This window comes from Homo sapiens, chromosome 11 (assembly GCF_000001405.40).
Source record: "Homo sapiens chromosome 11, GRCh38.p14 Primary Assembly".
Taxonomy (NCBI): Eukaryota; Metazoa; Chordata; class Mammalia; order Primates; family Hominidae; genus Homo; species Homo sapiens.
The window spans coordinates 56,462,100-56,482,202 of NC_000011.10; the positions used below are offsets into that span (position 1 = coordinate 56,462,100).

The window sequence follows — 20,103 nt, forward strand, 5'->3', positions numbered from 1 at the left end:
GTTTGAGGAATATGTATATGTATAAAGTACTCTGCAAAATAACATCCAACACTAACAAGCATACTTCCAACTTAACATATATGTATGTACACTCATTTGTGAGTTCCTCCAGTGACTAAACTTAGCCCAATTTTAAGCATATTGTGAATGAACATTGTGTCATCTTTCATAATATTGGCGCACATATAGGAGAAAATATGCTTAGTAATTAGAGTCCATACAAGGGGTAAAACATCACCCTGTTACATCAGACCTCTTAGTGTGTGAAAGAGTTACCTTTTGATACTGTTTTCTGAGCTAGGACTTTTACATGTGACCATTTATAACAGGACCCTATTTATAATAGGGACAACAATATCCACTACAGTTTTACTGCCTCACATATGTCTTGGTGATTGCTTTGTTGACTGCTTCTTTTACATCCTTATTTCTCAGACTGTAGATCATGGGATTCAACATAGGAATTACTGTGGTGTAAAACACAGCCACCATTTTGCCCTGCTCTACGGATTCCTCAGTGGGTCTCCTGAGATACATGAAGATGGGGGTCCCATAAAACATAGAAACAGCCGTCAAGTGGGACCCACAGGTGGAGAACGCCTTCCTCCTGCCATCGGCAGAGCGCATGCGTAGCACAGCTACTACAATGAGAGTGTAGGAGATGAGGACCACCGAGAGGGAATATGTGAAGTTAATTCCAGCAATAACAATCATTGTGATTTCTTTGATGTGCACTCTCCCACAGGCAATCTGGATGAGAGGGGGATCTGCACAATAGAAGTGATTGATTTCAAAGTTTCCACAGAAGTATAAGCCATAAGTCCATAGTGTGCATATTAGGCTGACAGAGAATCCATAGACATAAGGCACAGAGATGAGCCGAACACACACAGTCCTAGACATTTTACTGCCATAAAGCAGAGGGTTGCAGCCGGCCATGTACCTGTCAAAGGCCATCACAGCCAGGATATAGACCTCCACGTGGACAACGGCAATGAAAAAGTAGCACTGCACCAAGCATCCCACATAGGAAATGGTTTTTGTCTCTGATAATAAGTTTTCCAGCATTTTGGGGGTAACGTTGGAGGAGAAGCACACGTCCGCAAAAGACAGATGACTCAGGAAAAAGTACATGGGACTCTGAAGCTGAGGACTGATGCTAATCAAAATGATCATACCAATATTTCCCAACAGAGTGATCATGTAAACCGCTAGGAACACCACAAAAAAGAGAACCTGTAGCTCCTGACGACAGGTCAGCCCCAGGAGAGTAAATTCTGTCACATCCGTGAAATTAGGCATTGCCTTAGTATAGGCCAAGTCTGTGTTGCCTATGGAGAAATTGTTTCAAAAGGAAAGTAAATGAATTTGTTTTATTCTTGAAACTGAGTTGCGTTTGTCCTTATTTTAATTCAAATAATTTAAAAACAATGTACACTTTGCAAAAATGTACAATACAGGGTTTAAATATACTATACATAAAATGAACTGAATATATAACATAATAGACATTGCAGTTTTAGTTCTGATCCAACTTTCCTTTGCTATAGATGTCCATGATTGTAGTTTCACTTTTTTGGCTCATTATAAATGTCAAACTAGGTAAAGAGCTGCAGATGCTGTGGTCAGAGATTTTCCTATGTAAAAATTTCTGATCTCTACTGGTTTCCTGTTACTAACAGAATTTGACTTGGGTTAGTGTTACTACTGTATTAAGTATAAAATATATGAAATAAAGCATCAAGGCATCTAAGAAACATAAACTAACACTACATTTTGTTTCAGTCACAGTGTGATGTACTTTTCTTATTTTACACAAAATCATTAGCGCTTTAGCATTTAGGTTGCTGCAAAAGTTATTGTGGGTTTTGCCGTTACTTTCAATGGCAAAAATGCAATTACTTTTGTACCAGCCTAATATTAGTTTGTTTTGTTTACCTTGAAACTCCTTAAACTGTCTTGCTTAGTAGTTACATTTAACAGAAATTTAGAAATAGTTATACATATGATTTCTACATGCCCTGATCTCTAGATCCACTAAACATAGTACAATAATCCAGTATAATTAAAACTCTCTAAGAAATATTTTTCTAGAGGCAACAGTCCCAGCCTTGTAATACTTATAAGAATAGCTGTTATTGAATGTTCAGGAAAACTCTTCTACGCAAATGTCCTGTAAAACAGGTTTTATTTGCATGACCATTTTACAAATGAGGAAGCTAAACACTGAGAGATTAAGAAAGTCTCCCTGGGTCAGAGGTCTACTAATTAGCAGAATTGGGATGCAAACAAAATCATTTTAGTGTTGTGTCTTTAACAATCTTCTATTGCTGCATCTTTGACAGCCTCTTCTACCATTATATTTCTTTTCATTTGAAATTCAGTTTGCTCATCCTCCACAATATGTGGAAGTTATCTCTTTCATAGTTCATCTTTAATGGACTTTTAAGAGCTTTGGTTACCCCAGAGCAGCCTAAACCACTGAGATAGTAAATCACTGCAACTCTCTACTTGTCCAAGTTTATCATCCCAGGATCAGATGATAATGATTTCTGGGAGAAAATTAATTTAATACCTAAATGTGTATCATCTATCAAAATAATCAAGAAGATTGAATTTGTAATCGACAAATAAAACCCAAAATTCATTTCTATTAACACTTCAGGAATTTTTCATGAAGAAAACCAGTGAAGGCATAAATTACTGGACCAATCATGCCAACTGACCCTATATCCCCAACTCCATTCATACATATATTTAAACAATATTATGAAAGTTAATAGTTTTTGTCTGTAAAAGAGAATGAGAGGACAAAAAATGAGAAATGAGGAGTTTTGCAAATCTTCATTATAATAAGCTCATTCTTACAAAGTTTTCAACAAACCAGGGATAGAAATACAAAAAGTTCCCAATAATATAATTTCATACAAGAAGACACTCTGATAACAAAATAAGTCTGTGAATAAGGTATTAGTTGCCTCTTCAAGACAGAGAGTGAAATTAAAATATTTGACTACATCAATCTCTATTGTAATGAGTGAAAAACTTGCAGACCTACCTTCAGCATAGAGAGTAGAAAATGATAACTTCTCACTATTTATAATAATGTCTTAAACATTAGGAACACTGGGATCATCTCCCTAAAGGACGATTCAGGTAATTATGAAAAAAATAATAAGTAAAATTCTAGACACAGCTCAGGTATAGGAGCAGTTAAGGAGTGTGGATGAGAAGAAGATTTTTTAAATAAAATAGATCAAAATTCTTGATCAATAATATAATCTTATCTCTCACTTTCACATGGGTTCTGTCTTCTTTTATTTACATATTGACAATTATGCATTTCAGCAAAATATTGGCCTGCATCATATAAAATTTCAGTGAGTCCCTTTCTTTCTGGTTGGACAATTGTTCTAAAAAGTGCCGTCTGTCAGGATAGATGATCATAGGAATGCACGTCCTATGCATCTCATGGTTGTGTTACAATGTCAGATGCCTCAAAGAATAAATCATTGGTAAAATGAGTACAAGTAGAAGTTATTACTGAAGTCAGTCAGGTCTGGGATTATACCTTTGGTATACCACTTTCACTATGCCACCTTGGACAAGCAATGTACTTCAGAGCCTCAGTGTACTCATCTGCAGAATAGGGAAATGACTATCTTACATTTTGGTTGAGATGATCTTAGAATGATATAGGGATAACTCTCTTCCCAATGGCTGTTGCATGTGAAGCACACAAAAAGTTGTCATTATTTGTGCAGTTTTACCTCTAAACAGTTTACTAGTATTATCTTACTACTTCTTTAGTATTCTAATATTATCCTTACCTTGAAGAATAAAAGTATTCCTATGTGAAATAAGTATGATGTACCAGGCTTGGTGGCTCACACCTGTAATCCCAGCACTTTGGGAGGCCAACGCGGGTAGAACATCTGAGGTCAGGAGTTCAAGACCAGCCCGGCCAACATGGTGGTACCCCGTCTCTACAATAATACAAAAATTACCTGGGCATGATGTCGGGTGCCTGTAATCCCAGCCACTCGGGAGGCTGAGGCAAGAGAATCGCTTGAACCTGGGAGGCAGAGGTAGTAGTGAGTCGAGACAGTGCCACTGCACTCCAGCCTGGGCAAGAGAGTAAGACTCCATCTCAAGAAAAAAAAAAAAAGAGAAGTATGATTTTAAGTCTTTCCTTTTTTAATTTTAGGGTTGGGGTACATATGCAGGTTTGTTACACAGACAAAGTGGCTTGATGTACAGATTATTTCATCACCAGGTAACAAACATAGCACCTAATAGGTATTTTAGGTATTTTTTTGCTCCTCTCCCTCCCCTCACCCCTATTCTCAAGTAGGCCGTGGTTATGTTGTTGTTGTTCCCTGCTATGTGTCCATGTATTCTTGTTGTTTAGCTCCCACTTATAAGTGAGAACATGCAGTATTGGCAAGTTTACATACTATCAAGCCAAAGAACATGGATACATGGATGCAAACTTAAATTATTTAAACTCTAAAGCATATACTTCCTCAATTTAGTCTGAAAAATCAACAACAGAATTGTGTTTGGGCAAAGTTTTTTCCAGTGTCAAAGTACCCAGAATTTATTAATTTCTTCTCACCAGTTATTGAGAAAGTCTATTAGATGAGTTTGACATTAGGGAATTTTGACTTCATATGCAATATCTCAAGAAAATGTAGATTGGAAAAGAAGAAAGAGTGTGTGTGTGTGTGTGTGTGTGTGTGTGTGTGTGTGTGTGTGAGAGAGAGAGAGAGACAGAGAGAGACAGGAAGAAAAAAATACAGAAGAGAAATAGAGAAAGAGATAACTTGGCTTCATGCTTAGACGTTGGAAATGCTTAAATATGATTAAGCTCACAGATGTAGAAATAAGTGTGACAATACTATCTATTTTTAAAAGTACTTTACAGAAATATCTTGAAATTCAGATGGGAAAATTGCTTTAAGCTCTGCCAAAAAATCGAGACTCATGAAAATTATTAGGCAGAAAATACATAGGGATCAGAGTTTACAACCTTAAAAGTAACTGGATGGGTGAAAAAAGTGACTTGTCCAAGGTCATCCACAAATTCACTTGAAATTTGGAAACTCAAACCAGAAACATGGTTTGACCACTGACCTGGAGTCATCATTCTTTATGTAACACTAAACTAACCCTCAAAAGAATAAACAGAAACACATTTCGCCTTTGAAAAAGAGAGGTAACAAAGATGGTTCAAATTTACCTGCCAATAAGCTGCAGGTGATAAAATGCTTTCAAAACACATTTTGAAATTTATTAATAACAAGAAAATAATTTGGCATATCAAGGGTTCCCCAAAAATGGCAAATAAATGTTTTTATTGACAAAATAAATTACTTTCAACTTCGGAGTAATCCCAAAAGAAGTTGTGTACCTTAGATATTAAAAGTCTCTAGAGGTTCGACATCTTTCAACCATGCTGCCCATGATTTATGTGTATGTATGTCGAAATGAGTTCATTTCACTTATAGGTTCTCTTGAGGTAAATAAAATTCAATATTGGACAAAGAAGAATGCTTTTTTACACTTTCATCAATAGCAGATAAACATTTCTTTTTCTTCACAACCTTGCCAGCATCTAATTTTTTTGGCTTTTTGATAATAGCCATTCTGACTGGTGTGAGAAGGTATCTCGTAGTTTTGATTTCCATTTTGTTAATCATCAGTGATGTTGAGCTTTTTCTTATGATTCTTGGCCTCATGTATCTTGGTTTAACCATTGTGGAAGACAGTGTGGGGATTACTCAAAGACCTCAGAACAGAAATATCCAGCAATTCCATGCCTGGGTATATGCCCAAGTGAATATAAATTGTTCTACTATAAAGACAAATGTACATGTATATTCACTGCAGCACTATTCACAATACAGGTAATCAACCTAAAAGCCCATTGGTGATAAACTGGATAAAGAAAATGCACATATACATCATGGAATACTAGGCAGCCATAAGGAAAAAAACGAGATCTTGTCCTTTGCAAGAAGATAGACGGAGATAGAGACCATTATCTTTAGCAAACTAATGCAGGAACAGAAAACCAAATACCTCATGTTCTCACTTAGAAGTGTGAGCTAAATGTTGAGAGTACAAGGACACATAGAGGGGAGCAACACACATTGAGGCCTATGAAAGGGTGGAGATTGGGAGGAGGGGGAGGATCAGGATAATAATTAATGGGTACTAGGCTTAGTACTTGGGTGATGAAATATTCTGTACCACAAACCTCTATAACACAAGTTTACCTATAGAACAAACCTGCACTCCTACCCTTGAACTTAAAATAAAAGTTAAATAAAAAAAGAATGCTTTTCTCTCAGATGACACCAATCTTGCTTTATATTCACATCTTTGCAGATAATTTTAATTATTTAAATGTATAATATAAAATGTATAAATTACATTTCTTTAGCTATATATTGTTTGCCTCAAAACAGAAGGTGATTATTTATTTATTTGGGCTGAGGACGTAGACTTGATGAAATAAGTTAAGTTGTAGCTTCATCCTTATGCTTCACGAAATATGGTGCAAGAGAGATGTGAAATTATGTTCCCATTATTATGTCATAAAATGTTATTGATAACAACAAATAGTGCATGCTAAATACTGAATTTATTTTAAATGCAAAAGTTAACTAGAATATGTAAGTGCCATGTCTTGGTCACAGGTGTACCAAATATCCCACATGAGTAGAATGTAATTTATTCTGTGGAATTTGGAGAGCAATGGTTTTACAATGACAGCTTCTTCCACTAATTCTTCAACTCCTCAGTCAGAGTGAAGACACCAGCAGGGGCAAACCACAGTCTGGTGACTGGCAATCATAGAGTAGAAACACAGCAGTTCCTGGGGTCTGTGAAACAGAGACACTTACCATGTTGTGTTTCTTAAGAAACACCAAAAATTTAAAAATCATGAAATACAATAGTATTGCTATTTTCAAAGTAGCAGTCTCTGAACAGACCCTACCCAACATAATGAAAGACGCATTAAACAATAAATAATCTCATAACAATTAGAGAGACCAATATTTTATGTCTTCATGTTGGAAAACCAAATTAAATATCATGGGTTTTTTTTTTCTGCCCCACATTTGTTTTTAAGTGGGCAAATAAATATTTCTTAAATTCATGCACCTGCACTTTTCAATAAGAAAACGTCTTTTGGTTGCAGCTATTTGAGCAATTTCCCTTAGTACACCTATGAACTTTGGCACACATCACAGTTTCAATTAACTTATTTGTATGTAATTAATCTCCATACTCACATCAACAGAAATGAATCATTCCTCCTTATATTTTCTCAATTTGTACCACTTTTATTTTTCTTTTCAACCCACAGAATATCTTTATCTTAATGTTCCTAGGTACTGGGTAATAAACTTTTTCCAAACAAATAATAGAAGATAAAATTAAATCAAATTTGATTTTATTTTGTTTAACATGATCTGCTGATCACTTTCATCATGGCCTTTTTCACATCCTTGTTCCTCAGACTGTAGATCATGGGATTCAACATGGGGATCACTGTGGTATAGAACACAGCCACCATCTTCCCCTGCTCCACAGACTCCTCTGTGGGACGTCTGAGATACATGAAGATCAGAGTACCATAGAATATAATGACAGCTGTCAGATGGGACCCACATGTGGAAAAGGCCTTCTGCCTTCCTTCTGCTGAGCGCATTCGCAGAATGGCAATGAGGATGAATAAGTAAGAGATGATAATTACAGTCAGGGAATATGTGAAGTTAATGCCGGCAAGTATGATCATTGTATATTCTTTTACAAAGGTCCCAGCACAGGCCATTTTGATGAGAGGTGGATCTGCACAGTAGAAATGGTTGATCTCAATTTTTCCACAGAAGTACAAGCCGTAAGTCCATAATGTTGCTGCCAGACTCGTCAGAAAACCATAAATGTAAGGGAAAGTAATCAGTCGAATACAGACAACCCTTGACATTTTACTGCCATAAAGCAGAGGATTCCCAATTGCCATGTATCTATCAAAGGCCATCGCAGCAAGAATAAAAATTTCCACATGGACAAGAGCAATGAAGAAGAAACACTGTACTAAACAACCAGCATAAGTAATTGTTTTTTTATCTGATAACAGGTTTTCCAACATTTTAGGGGTGACATTGGAAGAAAACCACACATCAACAAATGACAAGTGACTGAGGAAAAAGTACATGGGGTTGTTAAGCTGAGGACTGACCTTGATTAACACCATCATGCCGATATTGCCCACCATGGTGATGATGTAGACCACAAGAAAGATGATGAAGAAGAGAACTTGCCATTCTCGACGGCTCGTTAGCCCCAAAAGAATGAACTCTGTCACATCGGTGAAATTGAGCATTTTCTGAATTCTAAGTCAATATCAGTTACAAAACTTTTTGATAACTAAAATAAAATAAAGGAAATATTAGAATATTTATTTATTAATTTATACCTTCAGATGCTCCCTTTATACAATATCTATTAGCACACTTTGCATTCTTTTCACAGATCTTTTCTCAGTGCCTGTTATGTAACAGGCTCTGTGATGAATAAATGTAGACAGTCCCTATTATATAACAATTATACAAAGTTTAGTGACTGAAATACACTGGTAGTAAGTAATGTGAGTAGTCATATTTCCAAGATTATTTCATTACTTCTTAAATATCCCTCATTTCCAATGATGGCATGTTTGGAGTTTTATATTTTAAAGATAATTACAATGGATTATAGTTATTTTCGTAATAGAACTTAAAAAGTGTACATTTTTACCTAATCTCTTTTTCATTGTAAGCATATTCTCAATGATTAGAGAAAAAAATCATATGATGAAATAATTCATCAGCCTAAAATGTTATAAAAATGTTTTTAATCTAATCTTATATTTGCATTATTTTCAACTGAAGAACAAAAAAAAGATGATAGTAGCCATCAAAGTCAAGTTAAAGGGTGAATTATTGGTCCATGTTCACACTATATAAACATTTCCTGGATATGGACTCCCAACTCTAACATGAAATTATAATCCACTAGATATCATATACTGCTGTGTTCTAGAGATTCAAAAATAGGTAAAACATACAGATTAATGTCAGTATTTATGAAGATACTAATGTAAACAAATACTTTTTAAAACTTGAATGTATTCTCATAGAGGTATAATAGGGACAGAAATTTAGGAAGTGATTTATTCTTCTTTGAGGGTTCAGTGGAATTCTAGGAAGGTTTCTTGTATATTTTGCAAATTTATTTTCAAATATAAGATGTATCATATAGGAAACTTCTTCTAGAAAATGCTTCTCAAATTATATTTCTAAGAAAACATTAGTGCTTGGCATGATCTTACTAGATATAATGGAGAATAATCCACAAATTTTTCTCCATCAAATGGGACATCTTTGTGTCCTGTCAAATCTCTTAGTGATTCACAATCTACCTAGTAAAGTTATTTACTGTACACATCATTCATTTAACATAGAAATTTACACTCACACGCACACACACCTCTATTTATGTATATACATATGTATATATATACACACACATATGTATATAAACATACATAAAGCTTATGTATATTTCTCTCATATATGTATGAGAAATTCCATTAATTGGATATTTTGTCAATGAGCATTCACATTCTGCAGAACAGAGTGCAAATCTATCTAATAAGAATCTTGAGATAGCCTTTCAGCAGGAAATACATTTGTTGGAGATGCGATTGTGTCAAACCTTCTAATGGCTATATGTTATCTCTAGAGCAAACAATTATTCCCAAGACCCTTCTTGTAATCTGCAATGTTAAACTGTATTCAATCACAATTTGATGAAATTTATCCATATTATTACTGGTTAGCAGTTACCCAGAAAATTAGCAGTCAGGAAGGTAAATCACAATGGATAGTGAAAATAAGTGAACATTTATCCATAGTAATAATCCAAAACTTTTCAACCACAAACTTGGAAAGAACATTTTTCTATGACTAGAGGAGAAAATTACTAATTGAAACAGATTGCATTCTACATGGCCCCAGAGGTTTGGTCTAATTAATAAAAATTTGAAGGATTAATTAGTGGGTACATTTTTAAAAATGAATAATAGTTAAAGTTCTAAAAACTGTGTATACTGCCTTAGAATATATTTATATATAGACTGTAAAATCTGTTACAGAGTTGTTAAAATCTCTAAGATCCTTAGATTTATATCCAAACGGAGATTACAGACATGTCAACAGATAACTCCAGATTTCTGGTTCAACAGTTTATGTCTGTGGCTGCCTGAAATGTTCTTGCTGGCAATAGAGGGATTCTTATTTGGAAAGTCATATCTCATTTTGTAGTGACGGGTGATTCAGCACAAACAAGGATGTAGAAGATGGCATTGTTAGTACTCCCCTCAAGCTAAATACCAAGAGCCCTGAGTGACGGTTATCCAGGTGATAAATAGCAATAGTAAAATTACAGGAAACTAGGGGTTAGATTTCATCCTAGGGGGTGCGAAGTGTACAAAGAAATAGAGATTAGGGGACCTCAAGAGTATTTAGAGAATTTCCTCACCACCTAAATTTAAAAATACACACATGACCTTCCCTTATTGAATTACTTTATTTCAAATTAAAATGCCCATAAATATGGATTCTTTTCCAGATCAGGTATGAAGCAATATTAAGTATCCTAGTTAAAGTGTTCTGTTTCTATCATCAGAGCTTGGTTGGATCCAGGCTCTATGATTTATTTTATAAAACTGGACATGTTTTATTCTTGTTTTGTTTTGCTTTTACTTTTTATGTTCCTCAGTAGGACTTAATGATAATATCCATTTCTTTGTGTGTTTGTGAATATGAAAAGATATATTAAGTATTAACACATAATAAATATGAAAACAATTATCAGATACACTCCATTATTCACTTGTAATTATCAAATAATATAATCCTATTGAAAATGTATCTCTCTTTTGTGTATCTCAACACATACATAACAGATAAAATCATGAATGCATTTCTATAAATCGTAAAAGAAAATAAAATCTCCAATGCAAGCTCCATCTGACAATTCCAGATAGATACATTTTTCACCAACCTGAGAATGATGAGAAATATTCCCAATGTGGTTGCAGAGTTGAAAAGCGCATGCTATATATGGGAATGGTAAACACTTTCAACCTGATGAAAGGGAAACTTGGAAAAGTCCACAGTGGAAGCCTCCCTTAACTGCTTGCCTTAGAAAGCAAGGAGCAATTAAGATTTATTTTATTTTTTCCCGTAGAAATGGCCCCATGGGAAATGAATCTCTAGAGAGAAAGCCAGCTGTTGAGTGTGTGGGTTTTTTTCATTAGAGTTTTCTACAATTTTATTTTTCCCCAAACTCCAGTTATTTCGAATGGGTTCTAGAATCAAGTAAAATGTCGGGGGCGATTTGTATCACACTAAACCTGTTTATGGGGTTACCCAAACTGTATATATCAAGTTCATGCTCTATACTTCACATTCTCTGCCGCTAGGTTTTGCAGGGAAGATAAGTCAAGTATTATTCCCTCTAATTAAAAATATAGCATATCAAAGCAGAAAAAATACATTTTCTTCAATTCCCTCATTTTATAAATAACAAAAATATTACTCCAAGTAGTAGTAATAATAATAGCAACAATAATGCATTTTTGAAGTAATACACACCAGATACTGTGCTAATTTATTGTAACTCAACCCTGAGGCAATTATTATTATTCTCATTTTATAGACCAGAAACTGAGTCTTTCAGAGGTTCAGTGATTTGGTCAATGTCACACTTTCAATGAACCAGACTCCTGATTCCAGAATTTGTACCATTAACCATCTCATCCTTTTGTCCAACAAGTAACCATTACAGGAAAAGAGACCAAATTTCTTATTTCCTAATCCTAAAAGACTCTCATTTTCGTTACATGACTGGTGTACATGATGCATTCTATTATGGTCTTTGTGGACTTAAGGGAACACAAATCTGTTTTTTGTATAGCAAAAAATTGTGGATTGCTTCAGTGTCATGTGCACTTGTCACTTTACTTGGGTGCCTGAAAATTTTCTCCCACAGCTCAAACTTGTTCCCTCTTCTGGCCTCCCCACTGCACTGCATTAACACCAGCCATGTTTACATTCCCACAAAAAAAATGTTGATTCTCACTTATGAAGTATTGGAGAAAATTGCTGGTTTCTCTACACATACATTTTTACTTCTCCATGGTAATATAATTTTGATAAAAGGGCCATTGACTGAATTGCCCCAGCCCTGCCCCAGTATTTATAACAGTATTTGGCACATGGTAGGTGTTCACAAAATATTTGTTAACTGACGAAAATGGTTAAAGTGATTGAGTTTTCAATAGATGACTAAATAGATAGGAGAGGTACACATCTAAGTATTCCTAAGTAATTCTCAGAATAATGTTGAGATGTTTCAGACACAAAATGAAGTTGTAGTTTAACGTTGAAGAACCTTGGTTAAGACTGTGAAAGTTAGAGGTCTGAGTGCATCTAGAGAGAATAATTGTTGGCATAAGAGAATAATTGTGCTATCTATTGCCAAGAGTTTACTATCCACAGAGGTCACGGGCCTCACATTATAAAGGGTAACCTGCAGTTCTCTGAACACAGACTGCTTTTCAGTTGCAAATTAAATAATTTTGATCTGTAGTAATATTGTGTTAGGTTTAATTTTTAAGGTCAGTCTCTACAAGATATTAAATAGCCTCATGTGGTTTCTCTGGGTTTTATGATGTAAATACGCTTATCAGTGACTGATAAGCTGGGGAAAGTCAACATTTTTTACATACACATTACATGCACACAGAAATATAGATAAGACTCATTCCATATAGAAAGAAAGTAAGCTTGCCTTATTCCAGTCCTAATTAAAGTCCTCTCCAAGATAGAAAGAAGGTAACTTAACTCAAGGGTTGCTTACTTGAATCATGCAAATGTTGTCTTCTCTTAAACACTTCCTGGAGGCTCCCATGTAAAATTAATAATCTCTACTCCTGCATTTTGACAGCCCTTAGCTCATATTGCTCATATTGTAGCTACCACATTTTATTACAGTTCATTTTAAGTGCATGTTTCATAATGCTAGACTATGAATAGCTTGAAACCAGACACAGTGTCTTAAACATTATTGCATTTTTGATGATTACATAATATTAAGTATTTTGCTAGATACTGTAGAAAGTCCAGTAAGGTGCATAATATTTCCCATCCTACTTGCTTACCTTGGGACTTACCCCTCACACACCCAGAGATATACACAGACCACACTGACCCACCAAACTCATCCCATGCCTCTAGCACGTACTCCAAGATGCAGCATCTTGTCTCAGGGTCCAGGGCAACTCAGACATTTTTAATTTATTAATTTTAATGATATATACATTTATAAGGTTTTGTGGTTTGACATTTGTAGGATTTTATCTGCAAAATATTTTAGAAATTTGAGATTATATTGTATATCACTAAAATTAAACAATGATATTAATAAATTAATTGAGGTCTCATGTTTTCCTAAATTGTTAAAACCAAGCTGCACCCTGACCACCTTGAACACAAGTTCTCAAGTCCTCCTGAGGGCTGTGTCACAGGCCACAGTCATTCATAATTGGCTCAGAATAAATTGTTTCAAATATTTTACGGTGTTTGACTCTTTTTGCCTTCCTGATTGAATCACTTCTTAATGGTCATACCTCTTAACACCATCACAATGAAAATTAAATTTCAACATGAGATTTGGAGTCAACATTGAAACCATAGCACACAGCCACGTGAAGATGGAGGCAGAGATTGTTATTATGTTGCCACAAGCCAAGAAATGCCTGGGGTTACCAGAAGCAAAAAGAAGAAACAAGATTCTCCTCTAGAGTTCAGAAAGGAGGATGGTCTTGTGGAAACCCTGATTTGGGGTTTCTAGCTCCAGATCTGTGCAAGAACACATTGTTGTTATCTTAAGCCATTCAGTGTTTACTTTGTTATGGCAGCTGAAGAAAACTAATACTTTACTCTTCAATTTGGAACTGTCATTTACATGAGCCTTTATTAGTCTCTTTGTCTAAAAAGCCCAGGAAGGTGGGCAGTTTTTCCTTCTCCTCTGGGACATCTTCAAACTGATCCAACCTTTCTAAGCCTCAGTAGCTCATTTTAAAATTAAACATTTTTGTAAATTTTGATTGGTCTCTGCCTACTTCTCATACCATCAGGTAGCAGTATCAGTCAGGGAATATATTTTTGTTTGTTCTCCAAGAATATCACACAATATCAACCACATGATAGACATTAAACATGTGAATGGATAAATGAAAAAAATACATTTATTATATTATAGTTGAAGAGTTAAGTAGATCTGGGATTATGTTGCTTTATAATCAACCCAACATAAAGTTTTGTTCCTGGACTCTGACAGCACCACACTTATCACTTGGTTCTAGGCTACTCCTTCCTACCCCCACTCTATTGTAAGTTATTGAAATCCTCAAATTTTCAAATAGTCTTTGAAGTATGAAGAAGTATGGCCTTCTACCTCAAATAATCCTGACTTTCAAATTTGCATATGAAATTGACATCTTTTCAAAGGACGTGATGATCATGTCCTCTTAATTTTTCCCTAATTTTATTAATGTTTTATTGTTTTATTTTGGGGATGGGGTCTCTCTGTTTCCCAGGCGGAAGTGCAGAGGCACAATACAGGTTCACTGTGGCCTCAATCTCTCAGTCTCAAGGAATTCTCCCACCCCAGCCTCCCAAGTAGCTGCAACTACAGACATGTGCCATCACTCCTGACTAGTTTTGTTGCATTTGTTTGTTTGTTTTTGTGCAGACAATATCTCACTATATTGCACAGGCTGATCTCAAACTCCTGGATTCAGTGATCCTCCTGCCTCTACCTCCCAAAGTGCTGGGATTATAGGCATGAGCCACCCTGCCTGGCAATTTTTTTTTCCAATTTTATACTCTATTTTTTCTTCAAATAACATAGAGCATTTTGGAGCTATCTTGCAAAACTGGATCACAGATTTGCCATCAGTGTCTGAAGTGGCTAAGGAATGGGAGGTAAAGCAGTGTTGTGGGGCTGAGCCTGTGTGATCTGAGGCAAGTGCCAGGTAGATAGTGTCAGAACTGAATTGAATTGTAGGAAAAGTTGATATCCACAGAGAATTGGAGAATTTAACACACACACACACACACACACATAAAAGTGTGTGTGAGTGTGTTGAAGGTAAAACAGTTTAATTTTCTTTCAGTTATTTGTGATCATGGAACATTAACATTGACTCAATAGAATTATGGTCTAGAACACAAGACGGTGTGGGCCATCTATCAGTTAATAAGATTTTAATAAATGCTCACAGGTCTCTGAAGATCATATTCCCTTTTCTCCTAAGCATAAAAATTACCACGATAAATTGTACCTCTACTGGCAAAATTATTTTAAATCCAAAGATGTCTTTATTGAACTAATGGTTAGATATTATTGGTTAATAGCAATATAACAAAATGATGATAGTCATTGTATTTATATTACTGCCTTATCCATTCCTTTAACTTTTAAAGCAGGGTTAGATGTGAGAAGAAACACCATCAGGCTTGGTCAGTACTTAGCATCTTTGGCACATCTTTGCTAGGTATTGCTTCTCTTGCTATGCAGTAATTCAGCTTGTGACCCCTAACAGTTTTGTGTCTGTTTCCAATTTTTAGATGGTTGGATAATGTGCTTTCATTAGCAACACAGAAGGAGAGTTCTAGGTCCTCAAATCATCCATGAGGGTGAGAAGAATCTTTAGATGGCTGGGTAAACAGCCAAGTAATCTGATTCCAACTCTTTCCTGATACTTGGATTTTATTTTATTTTATTTTATTTTTTCAGAGACAGGGTCTTGCTCTGTTGCTCAGGCTGAAGTGAGTGGCTGAGTGGCATAGTCACACCTCATTCCAACCTCGAACTCCTGAGCTCAAATGATCCTTCCACCTTAGCCTCCTAAAGTGCTGGGATTACAGGCATGAGCCACTGTGCCTGGCTGGATTGGAATTTTTTGACACCATGGCTTCACACTTATGAGAAATTTCCTTATGACAATGGTCCATGAAGACCACAAGTCCCCTCTTCTGACACAGATTATAATGGTGTATTTGCCTTTGCTGCTAAGACATTTTAAGATGGCCAGGTATGGTGGCTCATGCCTGTAATCCCAACCACTTTTTGAGGCAGAAGCAGTCAGATTGCTTGAGCTCTGAAGTTCAAGAGCAGCCTGGGCAATGTGTTGAAATCCTGCCTCTACCAAAAATACACAAAAATTTGCCAGGTGTGGTGGCATGCTCCTGTGGTCTCAGCTACTTGGGAGGCTGAGGGGGAAGGATTGCTTGAGCCCGGCAGGTGGAGGCTGCAGTGAGCCGAGATCGCATCACTGCACTCCAGCCTGGGTGACAGAGGGAGACCCCACCCATCTCAAAAAAAAAAAAGACATTGTAAGATATAATGTTGATCAATGGAGAAACTAAATAAGAAAATTTTAGCATACACTTGCTGATTGTTGATTTAACGTCAGCAGTGTTGACCCTTCTCTAACAACCTCTAAAGATTAAGGAATATTGTAATTTGGCTGAGGCCATATTAGAATCCTTCACAGTATGATGATAAGTGAAATGGAAGGAAAGTAAGAATATAGTAATTTACTTGCACTGGGGTGAGTCTCCCTGCTCATGTTGATATTTAAATACAACTAAACCTAAACATCATGATTTACAAAATAACTTTAGTGGAATGACGGTTATCAAAACAAAATAAAGCAAAAAATCAGTTTGGTTTAAACCACTATATTTTGCAAGAAGTGACACTTGCTGTTACAAGCAGGAATGAGAAAATTGCCTAAATGGCATCTATTTTTGGGTGGGGGGACAGCATCTTGCTCTGTTGCTAGGCTGGAGTGCAGTGGCACTATCTCGACTCACTGCAAGCTCCGCCTCCTGGGTTCAAGTGATTCTCCTGCGTCAGCCTCCCAAGTAGCCGGGATTACAGGCAACCACCACCATACCTGGCTAATTTTTGTATTTTTATTATGTTGACTAGGATGGTCTCGATCTCTTGACCTCGTGGTCCACCCACCTCAGTTTCCCAAAGTGCTGGGAATTGCAGGCGTGAGCCACCGTGCAAGCCTAAATGGAATCTTCTACTCTTCCCGTTTCAACCCGCTAGTTTCAGGAAGCTTAACTCAGTCAGCTACCTAACAGAAAATTAGAAATGAATTGTGCAAATGTAGCCTAAAATGTGACATCTAACCCAATGATATTATATCTCATTACTTCACAAATTTTTAATGATAGCTTAGCATTTTTATTTTCCCAATGTTTGTTTTCCTATTGCTTTTTTCAACGCCTCTTTCACATCCTTGTTCCTGAGGCCATAGATCATGGAGTTCAGCATGAGTATCACTGTGGTGTAAAACACAGCCACCATTTTCCCCTGCTCCACGGACTCGTCTGTGGGACGTCTCAAATGCATGCAGAAGAGGGTTCCATAGAAGATTGTGACAACTGTCAGGTGGGAACCACATGTGGAAAAAGCTTTTTTCCTTCCCTCTGCAGAATGGCTTCTGAGGATAGCGACAAGGATGAACATGTAGGATGTGAGAATGATCAGAAGAGACTGGACGTTGCTGTAGCCGGCTACTATGTACATGGACAGCTCCTTGCTGTACGTGTCAGAGCATGCCAGTTTGATAAGAGGAGGATCAGCACAGTAGAAATGGTTGATTTCATTTGTTCCACAGAAGGAGAGGTTGTAGGTCCTTAAGGTTTCCATCACACTGAGAAGAAAGCCATAGACATAAGGGACAATGACCAGGTGGACACAAACACCTTGGGACATTTTGCTACTGTAGAGCAATGGATTACAGATGGCCATATAGCGGTCATATGCCATGACTGCCAACATGCAGTGCTCTGCAAGGACCACAGCAATGACAACATAGCACTGCATCAAACAACCTGCATAGGAAATGGTCTTCTTCTCTGATAAGAAATTTTCTAGCATTTTGGGAGTGAAATTTGTGGAGAAACACAGATCTAGAATGGACAAACTGGAGAGAAAAAATTACATGGGAGTGTGAAGTCGAGAATCAACTTTGATTAAAATAATCATCCCCAAGTTTCCTACCACAGTGGCTATGTAGACAAAAAGGAACAGTGCCAAGAAAGCAACTCGCAGCTCTGGACGGCTTGTTAGACCCAAGAGAACAAATTCTGTCAGTTCAGTATAGTTTCTTCTGGACATTTCTTCATCTCATATGAGACGCATTGGTCTGAATATCTAAGGAGAAAGAGAAACTTTTTAAAAATCACTAAAACCCTAGTTAAATATCATGCTTTGTATAAAAAGAGCCAAAAGGCTTTAGTTATGTTATCTCAGTAGCAGTTCTGTAACTGAAGATGAACAGTTATACTATGAAGCAAGTCTAAACATTTGCAACAAGTGGTTTCCACTGAGGCTGAATTTGTAATCACAGTGTGCAATTAAGTTGGAGGCTTAATGCAAAATTATAAACGAAAGTATCCTTATGCTGTGGGAAATTTCTTTTAAAAATCTAGATAACTTATATGTTAAAGATTAAATTGTAATAGAGATTTTGAAATGCTTAGAACTTCTAATGACATGCTTACATATACATACAAAGCTACATGGAGAGGTAGAAAGGACTTTGAGGATAATGCAGGCAAAGCTCTTCATTCTGAAGACTGAGAGACTGAATCCTAGAGAGATGAAGTGACTAATCCCACTGAGATGCTTATCTCATACATCCCCATTCGGTGATCTGCTAATATACTATATATCTCACCGAGTTCAACTTACTGTCTCGGTGTATTTTTATATTTTGTTGTTTTTAGTAGTAGTGCTTTTCATTGTGATATGTATATTGGTTCTTTGTTTATAAGTTAGTTTTTGGGAACTTATGTAAATAAAGCCTTTCGTTTGAGTCTTAAACATTGATATCACGTGTTTATAAGCATTTTTTCCAATTTGCACATCCCAATTTAGCCTGTCTGTCTGTTGGGTTAAACAAGTGTATTTATGCTCCTTCATCAATATCTCAATTCTATATGAAATTTCATATGTATTATCTTTGAGGTATCAATCTATGTTTTAATTTGTTCCTATATTTTAATTTCTTGCTATTTTACAACATTCATGCTGCATAGAACCAACATTATAGTCCCCTGCTTGGCTCACATGCTCTTTTATATCTCTGTATAAAGAAGTCCTATATCAAAGAATTTCCTATTCCTCCATTATGTTAACCCTGATGTGTAGTTTAGCCATTAGGATAAAAGGAATTAACTCAATCACCCTAAGATGATTAAAAAAATGTTTTCAGGTTCTCAATCTATACTTACTCCCTGCTAATATACCCAGAATAAATTATGTGATCACTTTGATGCCATTGCCACACAACATTAAAAAGCCTTAAAAATGGGCTGGATGTGGTGGCTTATGCCTATAATCCCAGCATTTTGGGAGGCCAAGACGGGTTGATCACTTCTGGTCATGAGTTCGAGACCAGCCTGGCCAACATGGTGAAACCCTGTCTCTACTAAAAATAAAACAAATCAGCCAGGTATGGAGGTGTGCACCTGTAACCCCAGCTACTCAGGAGACTGAGGCAGGAGAATCACTTGAACACAGGAGGCAGAGGTTGTAGTGCACTGAGATCATGCCACTGCACTCCAGCCTGGGTGGCAAAGAGAGGCGAGAGTTCGTCTCAGAAACAAAGAAAGGAAGGAAGGAAGGAAGGAAGGAAGGAAGGAAGGAAGAAAGAAAGAAAGAAAGAAAAAGAAAGAAGAAAGAAAGAAAGGAAAGGAAAGGAAAGAAAGGAAAGGAAAGGAAAGGAAAGAAAAGAGAGAGAAAGAAAGAACTAAAAATGGAGAGAGATTCTTTGTTCACTAAGGGAAGGATTCAATAGCATAAAAAGGTCAGTCTTTCCTAAGTGACCCATAGAGTCAAATAAATTCCAATCAAAATTCAAACACAATTCTTGTGGAATAGCTGATTCTA

At 36.3% G+C, this 20,103-nt stretch overlaps 2 protein-coding genes and 1 pseudogene across 2 annotated transcripts; all 3 read right to left on the reverse strand.

The window, feature by feature from the left end:
- Window positions 1-369: 369 nt before the first annotated feature.
- OR5M9 (olfactory receptor family 5 subfamily M member 9) lies at window positions 370-1,302 on the reverse strand. The gene has a single exon (NM_001004743.1). It carries the CDS (start codon window positions 1,300-1,302, stop codon window positions 370-372), a length of 933 nt encoding a protein of 310 aa, NP_001004743.1.
- A 5,872-nt stretch (window positions 1,303-7,174) lies between these two features.
- OR5M3 (olfactory receptor family 5 subfamily M member 3) lies at window positions 7,175-11,253 on the reverse strand. The gene is made up of 2 exons (NM_001004742.3): window positions 11,122-11,253; window positions 7,175-8,442 (listed from the first exon to the last, which is right to left on the reverse strand). Exon 2 carries the CDS (start codon window positions 8,396-8,398, stop codon window positions 7,475-7,477), a length of 924 nt encoding a protein of 307 aa, NP_001004742.2. The 5' UTR covers window positions 8,399-8,442; window positions 11,122-11,253; the 3' UTR covers window positions 7,175-7,474.
- OR5M2P (olfactory receptor family 5 subfamily M member 2 pseudogene) lies at window positions 17,392-18,327 on the reverse strand (annotated as a pseudogene).

What these genes read in the sequence shown, in the direction of transcription:
- OR5M9 (NM_001004743.1), bottom strand. Translation starts at nt 1,302, where the DNA reads ATGCCTAATTTCACGGATGTGACAGAATTTACTCTCCTGGGGCTGACC.
- OR5M3 (NM_001004742.3), bottom strand. Translation starts at nt 8,398, where the DNA reads ATGCTCAATTTCACCGATGTGACAGAGTTCATTCTTTTGGGGCTAACG.